This window comes from Homo sapiens, chromosome X (assembly GCF_000001405.40).
Source record: "Homo sapiens chromosome X, GRCh38.p14 Primary Assembly".
NCBI classification, from domain to species: Eukaryota; Metazoa; Chordata; class Mammalia; order Primates; family Hominidae; genus Homo; species Homo sapiens.
In genome coordinates, this window is record NC_000023.11 from 5480054 (window position 1) to 5490396 (window position 10343).

The window sequence follows — 10343 nt, forward strand, 5'->3', positions numbered from 1 at the left end:
TCAAAGAGACCTTTAAACAACACACTGGGGCTACAATTTAACCAGTTTAAAAAATAAACAACTTATATTTTGAACTTCTCTGATAAACAAACAATAAATTTTTAATTATAAATAAAATTGTGTATTATATTAGATAAATTTAACATCTTACTGATAGGCAGTCATTACTACTTGTGAAGAACAACAAAAAACCTCTAGAGGGCAATTTCATTTATGTATAATTCTGTGACTTGTAAACTCTGACAAGTGCTTCATTTTAATTTCTGTCATCATACACATTCATATTTTATGTAACTACTTAGAGTTAATTCATTTATATTTATGAGCAAATTAAACAAATTTAAAATTAAAATGCCACTAATAAGTTTTTTCACTTATTTCAGTGAATAAAAACGTTTGACCTGAGAGGAGCCAAGATGGCCGAATAGGAACAGCTCCGGTCTACAGCTCCCAGCGTGAGCGACGCAGAAGACGGTGATTTCTGCATTTCCATCTGAGGTACCGGGTTCATCTCACTAGGGAGCGCCAGACAGTGGGCGCAGGTCAGTGGGTGCAGCGCACCGTGCGCGAGCCGAAGCAGGGCGAGGCATTGCCTCACTTGGGAAGCGCAAGGGGTCAGGGAGTTCCCTTTCCGAGTCAAAGAAAGGGGTGACAGACGCACCTGGAAAATCGGGTCATTCCCACCCGAACACTGCGCTTTTCCGACGGGCTTAAAAAACGGCGCACCAGGAGATAATATCCCGCACCTGGCTCGGAGGGTCCTACGCCCACGGAGTCTCGCTGATTGCTGGCACAGCAGTCTGAGATCAAACTGCAAGGCGGCAGCGAGGCTGGGGGAGGGGCGCCCGCCATTGCCCAGGCTTGCTGAGGTAAACAAAGCAGGCGGGAAGCTCCAACTGGGTGGAGCCCACCACAGCTCAAGGAGGCCTGCCTGCCTCTGTAGGCTACACCTCTGGGGGCAGGGCACAGACAAACAAAAAGACAGCAGCAACCTCTGCAGACTTAAATGTCCCTGTCTGGCAGCTTTGAAGAGAGCAGTGGTTCTCCCAGCACGCAGCTGGAGATCTGAGAACGGGCAGACTGCCTCCTCAAGTGGGTCCCTGACCCCCGAGCAGCCTAACTGGGAGGCACCCCCCCAGCAGGGGCACATTGACACCTCACACGGCAGGGTACTCCAACAGACCTGCAGCTGAGGGTCCTGTCTGTTAGAAGGAAAACTAACAGAAAGGACATCCACACCAAAAACCCATCTGTACATCACCATCATCAAAGACCAAAAGTAGATAAAACCACAAAGATGGGGAAAAAACAGAACAGAAAAACTGGAAACTCTAAAAAGCAGAGCGCCTCTCCTCCTCCAAAGGAACACAGTTCCTCACCAGCAACGGAACAAAGCTGGATGGAGAATGACTTTGACGAGCTGAGAGAAGAAGGCTTCAGACGATCAAATTACTCTGAGCTACGGGAGGACATTCAAACCAAAGGCAAAGAAGTTGAAAACTTTGAAAAAAATTTAGAAGAATGTATAACTAGAATAACCAATACAGAGAAGTGCTTAAAGGAGCTGATGGAGCTGAAAACCAAGGCTCGAGAACTACGTGAAGAATGCAGAAGCCTCAGGAGCCAATGCGATCAACTGCAAGAAAGGGTATCAGCAAGGGAAGATGAATGAAATGAAGCGAGAAGGGAAGTTTAGAGAAAAAAGAATAAAAAGAAATGAGCAAAGCCTCCAAGAAATATGGGACTATGTGAAAAGACCAAATCTACGTCTGACTGGTGTACCTGAAAGTGATGGGGAGAATGGAACCAAGTTGGAAAACACTCTGCAGGATATTATCCAGGAGAACTTCCCCAATCTAGCAAGGCAGGCCAACGTTCAGATTCAGGAAATACAGAGAACGCCACAAAGATACTCCTCGAGAAGAGCTACTCCAAGACACATAATTGTCAGATTCACCAAAGTTGAAATGAAGGAAAAAATGTTAAGGGCAGCCAGAGAGAAAGGTCGGGTTACCCTCAAAGGGAAGCCCATCAGACTAACAGCAGATCTCTCAGCAGAAACCCTACAAGCCAGAAGAGAGTGGGGACCAATATTCAACATTCTTAAAGAAAAGAATTTTCAACCCAGAATTTCATATCCAGCCAAACTAAGCTTCATAAGCGAAGGAGAAATAAAATACTTTACAGACAAGCAAATGCTGACAGATTTTGTCACCACCAGGCCTGCCCTAAAAGAGCTCCTGAAGGAAGCACTAAACATGGAAAGTAACAACCGGTACCAGCCGCTGCAAAATCATGCCAAAATGTAAAGACCATCGAGACTAGGAAGAAACTGCATCAACTAACCAGCAAAAGAACCAGCTAACATCATAATGACAGGATCAAATTCACACATAACAATATTAACTTTAAATGTAAATGGACTAAATGCTCCAACTAAAAAACACAGACTGGCAAATTGGATAAAGAGTCAAGACCCATCAGTGTGCTGTATTCAGGAAACCCATCTCACATGAAGAGACACACATAGGCTCAAAATAAAAGGATGGAGGAAGATCTACCAAGCAAATGGAAAACAAAAAAAGGCAGGGGTTGCAATCCTAGTCTCTGATAAAACAGACTTTAAACCAACAAAGATCAAAAGAGACAAAGAAGGCCATTACATAATGGTAAAGGGATCAATTCAACAAGAAGAGCTAACTATCCTAAATATATATGCACCCAATACAGGAGCACCCAGATTCATAAAGCAAGTCCTGAGTGACCTACAAAGAGACTTAGACTCCCACACATTAATAATGGGAGACTTTAACACCCCACTGTCAACATTAGACAGATCAACGAGACAGAAAGTCAACAAGGATACCCAGGAATTGAACTCAGCTCTGCACAAAGTGGACCTAATAGACATCTACAGAACTCTCCACCCCAGATCAACAGAATATACATTTTTTTCAGCACCGCACCACACCTATTCCAAAATTGACCACATACTTGGAAGTAAAGCTCTCCTCAGAAAATGTAAAAGAACAGAGATTATAACAAACTATCTCTCAGACCACAGTGCAATCAAACTAGAACTCAGGATTAAGAATCTCACTCAAAACCGCTCAACTACATGGAAACTGAACAACCTGCTCCTGAATGACTACTGGGTACATAATGAAATGAAGGCAAAAATAAAGATGTTCTTTGAAACCAATGAGAACAAAGACACAACATACCAGAATCTCTGGGACACATTCAAAGCAGTGTGTAGAGGGAAATTTATAGCACTAAATGCCCACAAGAGAAAGCAGGAAAGATCCAAAATTGACACCCTAACATCACAATTAAAAGAACTAGAAAAGCAAGAGCAAACACATTCAAAAGCTAGCAGAAGGCAAGAAATAACTAAAATCAGAGCAGAACTGAAGGAAATAGAGACACAAAAAACCCTTCAAAAAATTAATGAATCCAGGAGCTGGTTTTTTGAAAGGATCAACAAAATTGATAGACTGCTAGCAAGACTAACAAAGAAAAAAAGAGAGAAGAATCAAATAGATGCAATAAAAAATGATAAAGGGGATATCACCACCGATCCCACAGAAATACAAACTACCATCAGAGAATACTACAAACACCTCTACGCAAATAAACTAGAAAATCTAGAAGAAATGGATAAATTCCTCGACACATACACTCTCCCAAGACTAAACCAGGAAGAAGTTGAATCTCTGAATAGACCAATAACAGGATCTGAAATTGTGGCAATAATCAATAGCTTACCAACCAAAAGGAGTCCAGGACCAGATGGATTCACAGCCGAATTCTACCAGAGGTATAAGGAGGAGCTGGTACCATTCCTTCTGAAACTATTCCAATCAATAGAAAAAGAGGGAATCCTCCCTAACTCATTTTATGAGGCCAGCATCATTCTGATACCAAAGCCGGGCAGAGACACAACCAAAAAAGAGAATTTTAGACCAATATCCTTGATGAACATTGATGCAAAAATCCTCAATAAAATACTGGCAAAACGAATCCAGCAGCACATCAAAAAGCTTATCCACCATGACCAAGTGGGCTTCATCCCTGGGATGCAAGGCTGGTTCAATATACGCAAATCAATAAATGTAATCCAGCATATAAACAGAGCCAAAGACAAAAACCACATGATTATCTCAATAGATGCAGAAAAAGCCTTTGACAAAATTCAACAACCCTTCATGCTAAAAACTCTCAATAAATTAGGTATTGATGGGACGTATTTCAAAATAATAAGAGCTATCTATGGCAAACCCACAGCCAATATCATACTGAATGAGCAAAAACTGGAAGCATTCCCTTTGAAAACTGGCACAAGACAGGGATGCCCTCTCTCACCACTCCTATTCAACATAGTGTTGGAAGTTCTGGCCAGGGCAGTTAGGCAGGAGAAGGAAATAAAGGGTATTCAATTAGGAAAAGAGGAAGTCAAATTGTCCCTGTTTGCAGACGACATGATTGTATATCTAGAAAACCCCATTGTCTCAGCCCAAAATCTCCTTAAGCTGATAAGCAACTTCAGCAAAGTCTCAGGAAACAAAATCAATGTACAAAAATCACAAGCATTCTTATACACCAACAACAGACAAACAGAGAGCCAAATCATGAGTGAACTCCCATTCACAATTGCTTCAAAGAGAATAAAATACCTAGGAATCCAACTTACAAGGGATGTGAAGGACCTCTTCAAGGAGAACTACAAACCACTGCTCAAGGAAATAAAAGAGGATACAAACAAATGGAAGAACATTCCATGCTCATGGGTAGGAAGAATCAATATAGTGAAAATGGCCATACTGCCCAAGGTAATTTATAGATTCAATGCCATCCCCATCAAGCTACCAATGACTTTCTTCACAGAATTGGAAAAAACTACTTTAAAGTTCATATGGAACCAAAAAAGAGCCCGCATCGCCAAGTCAATCCTAAGCCAAAAGAACAAAGCTGGAGGCATCACACTACCTGACTTCAAACTATACTACAAGGCTACAGTCACCAAAACAGCATGGTACTGGTACCAAAACAGAGATATAGATCAATGGAACAGAACAGAGCCCTCAGAAATAATGCCGCGTATCTACAACTATCTGATCTTTGACAAACCTGAGAAAAACAAGCAATGGGGAAAGGATTCCCTATTTAATAAATGGTGCTGGGAAAACTGGCTAGCCATATGTAAAAAGCTGAAACTGGATCCCTTCCTTACACCTTATACAAAAATGAATTCAAGATGGATTAAAGACTTAAACGTTAGACCTAAAACCACAAAAACCCTAGAAGAAAACCTCGGCATTACCATTCAGGACATAGGCATGGGCAAGGACTTCATGTCTAAAACATCAAAAGCAATGGCAACAAAAGACAAAATTGACAAATGGGATCTAATTAAACTAAAGAGCTTCTGCACAGCAAAAGAAACTACCATCAGAGTGAACGGGCAACCTACAAAATGGGAGAAAATTTTCACAACCTACTCATCTGACAAAGGGCTAATATCCAGAATCTACAATAAACTCAAACAAATTTACAAGAAAAAAACAAACAACTCCATCAAAAAGTGGGCGAAGGACATGAACAGACACTTCTCAAAAGAAGACATTTATGCAGCCAAAAAACACATGAAAAAATGCTTATCATCACTGGCCATTAGAGAAATGCTAATCAAAACCGCAATGAGATACCATCTCACATCAGTTAGAATGGCAATCATTAAAAAGTCAGGAAACAACAGGTGCTGGAGAGGATGTGGAGAAATAGGAACACTTTTACACTGTTGGTGGGACTGTAAACTAGTTCAACCATTGTGGAAGTCAGTGTGGCGATTCCTCAGGGATCTGGACCTGGAAATACCATTTGACCCAGCCATCCCATTACTGGGTATATACCCAAAGGATTATAAATCATGCTGCTATAAAGACACATGCACACGTATGTTTATTGTGGCATTATTCACAATAGCAAAGACTTGGAGCCAACCCAAATGTCCAACAATGATAGACTGGATTAAGAAAATGTGGCACATATACACCATGGAATACTATGCAGCCATAAAAAATGATGAGTTCATGTCCTTTGTAGGGACATGGATGAAATTGGAAATCATCATTCTCAGTAAACTATCGCAAGAACAAAAAACCAAACACCGCATATTCTCACTCATAGGTGGGAATTGAACAATGAGATCACATGGACACAGGAAGGGGAATATCATGCTCTGGGGACTGTTGTGGGTTGGGGGGAGGGGGGAGGGATAGCATTGGGAGATATACCTAATGCTAAATGACAAGTTAGTGGGTGCAGCACACCAGCATGGCACATGTATACATATGTAACTAACCTGCACAATGTGCACATGTACCCTAAAACTTAAAGTATAATAAAAAAAATTAGAGCAGAGATAAATGAATTAAAGAATTAAAAATAGAGAAAAACATTAAAAAAAAAAAGTTTGACCTGAAGGTTATGAAATTGTTCTATCTGTAGCGTCTCTGATGAAGGATACATATAAACATAATTTTCCTAAGATCTGGGACAGAGTGATTCCAGATTCATAATCGGAATTATTTGAATAGGGGATGTTTTTGTATCTCACTTTGTTTTTGGTGTTGATACTCATTGGATTATGACAGTTGAGGTCACCCATCATATCATGATTGTTTTGTTTTTCCCTTAGCTGCTGAGCAGCACCTGGAGCTCAGGTGACCCTCTATAAAGAGTTATCAATATTTATCTTACTTTTTCATATGTCATATCACAATATGAAAGTTTTTATTAAACAACTCAATATGTAGAAAGTTTTTGGCAAATATCCGTCTTTAAAAAAAGGCATAACAGTTTTATGGATTAATGAAAAGCCAAATTTTACGTTACATTATTTATTTTATTTAAAAATCTATCATCTTTCTATCTATCCATGTATGTAGCTTTTTCTTTTTTTTTTTTTTTTTTGAGACAGAATCTCACTCTGTCGCTCAGGCTGGAGTGCAGTGGCGCGATCTCGGCTCACTGCAACCTCCCCCTTGGGTTCAAGCGATTCTCGTGCCTCAGCCTCCCAAGTAGCTGGGATTACAGGCACCCACCTGCCACCACACCTGGCTAATTTTTGTATTTTTAGTAGAGACGGGATTTCACCATGTTGGCCAGGATGGTCTCCTGACCTCAGGTGATCTGCCCGTCTCGGTCTCCCAAAGTGCTGGGATTACTGGCATAAGCCACCATAACTATCTGTATGTCTATCTGTCTATCTATCTATCCATCTAATTTGAATATAAAAGCTCTCTTTCTCTATGGTTGATCATTGGACCATGGGTTCTCTGCATCTTCATTGAGTTAGGACTTTTTCACAGAGATAAACCACCTGAGTGGTATTAGATTAATATTTAGATTGTTTTAGCCACAAACTGACTTCTCAACCTGTACCATAATCATTGGCTTTTTTGTTAAATGAACTATGAAAAGATAAATAATTCTTTATTGGAGACATTCATTTTATATGATGTATAAGTACACATATAAATCAAACTGTATATCCCTCCATCCTATTTATTTATTCATCTATCATATCTATCAATCATATATATCATCTACCGGTCATCTATCTGTCTGCGTATCCGTGCATCCATCTATGCTCTCTATCTATTCATTCATCCATCATATGTATGTATGTATGTATGTATGTATGTATGTATCTATGTATCTATCTATCTATCTATCTATCTGTCTATCTATCTATCTATCTACCTATCATCCATCCATCATCTATCATCTATATACCCATCTATCATCCATCTATCTATCTATCATCCATCTATTTATCTATCATCTATCTGTCAATGCATCTATCTACCTACCTGTCTGTCTCTCTGTCTCATCTGTCTAATCTGCCTCATCTCTCTCTCTCTCCCTGTCTCTCTCTAACTCATCTATCTATCTAATCTATCTAGTCTATCAATCTATCTATCCACCGATGTCATCTACCTATCTCATCTGTCTATCTAGCTATCTATCCATCTGTTGAATCTATCTATCTTTCCATTCATCCTTGCCAAATACTTGTTTAGTTTTGGAGAAAATCAAGCATATTTTTAGTCAGCTACCTACATGAGGAAGTATGGTTAAAACTCAAGCAGCAAACTGATTCATTCTCACTGTGAAATCAACCACATTGTGCTGTTGTTGTTTCTGCCTTGGGAGCAGGGGGCAGCTTCCAGGGATTCTTATTCATGTTTTTTTCTTCTGCCTCAACTTCTATGCCTGGTATAACGGCTGGGATTTCCTTTCTCATGTGTGCCATCTTGGCTGTAGTGGCTAGATGGACACTGGCCTGCATTGAATCTATTTTTTTTCCCTTGTTTGCCCCACCTACTATCCAAGTCCCTTAATAGCCATATTACTTTTGTGTCTGTCCCATTTTACCATTAAAAGTCAAGCCACAATTACATCAATATTATGCTACAGCATAATATGGGCACAGTCATATCTCCTGATTGGTTGTTCCTGCCTAAGAGCAAACTAAAATTTGAATCTATTTTATTCCTCTTTTTGGTCAACTCATCTTCAAAATTATTTCTTTTCTTTCATTTCTCTGTTGCAAAGTCTAATGTCCAAATTAGAAACAGTTCACAGAAGCCCCTAAACAATGAAAATGGGTATTTGCTTCTTTCTTAGAAAGAAAGACTTTCATTTACATAGCCTGTAGTTGATTGGGAATAGCATGAAGAAGGAATGAGCATGCTCTGTACAATTAGAGGATAAGAAATAGATTGCAGGTTGACCCAGTTTCTGACTTGCATTGATATTGTATTTCAATATCTTAACACAGTTTCTACCACAACTATCAAATTAAAAATTCATATTTAATCATGTACCAAGTTATGGCTAAAACAAATAGGTTATGTCAAACTATTAAACCAAAAGTGTATCAGGGAATAAGTTGGGAAAGCCATCATTCACAAAAATGGCACCACTACGTCTTCAAATAGCCACACAGATCAAATTGTTTTGTGATCTTTGTTCTCTTTTTGCACAGTTCTCATAAGTGGGTATTCTTCTGATTCATTCTGATTCATTATGTTGGGAAACATAATGGAATGAATGCTTACAGTGGCTGCATTTTAGGTAATTAATGATAAAGTGAGATGCAAGTGAAAAAGGTACACCCGCAAGATAATATTACAATAGCATGACTGTGCTATTCTTTCTGCAGTTCAATCAATACAGTTTGCTGATTGAACAACTCAACTGCAGGAATTTTCTTCTTGATCAAAGAGGAAATGATAATTACTTGCATTTTTCATGGATTTAAATCATGACATAGCAACTATTTATTAACCATGGAAAGGAATTCAATTATGATATCAAATCTCTGTACATGATAAAGGTCTGTATCTCCATCAGTTTATCTACCTCTCTGTGTCTAGGTTTTCTTATCTTTAAATTGGAACTATACTTTCCTTCACCTTATACATTTGTAGTGAAGATTAAAAGTGCAAATTCATATAGCGTATTTTGAATAGACTGGTATAAGATAAATGCTCAAGAAATATTTGCTGTTGCTATAATAATTATCATCATATGCAAGTATATAATATTGTTATATTATTATGTATATTATATTACAAATACTTATATAATACAATATTTATATTATTATATTATAATGATATTATTTGTCATTGTATAATATATATTTATATAATATAATTATACATTTGCATAATAATTATATTTATTGTATTATATATAAAAGGCAATTGTTATTATTACCTATGCTGGTTAACAAAATGAGCAGAATTTCAATTCACATATAGTATTGGCCTCCGTTACTACAAATGGCAAATACAATAGAATCTTTGTGACCTGAATTCATTTCCTAGAATACTTGAGGTTAAAAAATATCACTGTAATATTCAGTCTTACAAGCATCCAGAAAATTTGACATCTATCAGCTCTTCTCCTTAAACACATGACAGAAAATGACAAGGGAGATCAGAAAATTGAACTTTTTTGTGTGTGTCATGTTCATTTATCTCCAACAAATAATTAGATTTGTTTGAAAGCACCTAATTTCCTTGGAGTCAAAATAACTCATCTTAGTTCATTTACAGGATAGGCACCTTTATTTTATCACATACTTGTGAGATTAAAAACCTTTCTATATGTTATTTAATGTGAAAGAGTGATTAAGTGGTTTTGTTAGACATAAAATTTTTACATAATGTGATTTTAATGTACAAATACCAGAATTTTTCAGATTCCAAGAAATTTGGTACTTAAGATATATCTTAAAATATAAAAAAGATTCTTCACTCAATTAA

The 10343-nt window shown here is 38.1% G+C and overlaps 1 annotated feature.

Annotated features, from left to right (window-relative positions):
• Positions 715 to 1215: an enhancer, noted in NCBI's record as "H3K4me1 hESC enhancer chrX:5398809-5399309 (GRCh37/hg19 assembly coordinates)". NCBI's record gives its function as "activates a minimal SCP1, AML or CMV promoter by ChIP-STARR-seq in primed H9 embryonic stem cells {active_cell/tissue: H9 hESC(primed)}" and the evidence as "EXISTENCE:reporter gene assay evidence [ECO:0000049][PMID:30033119]".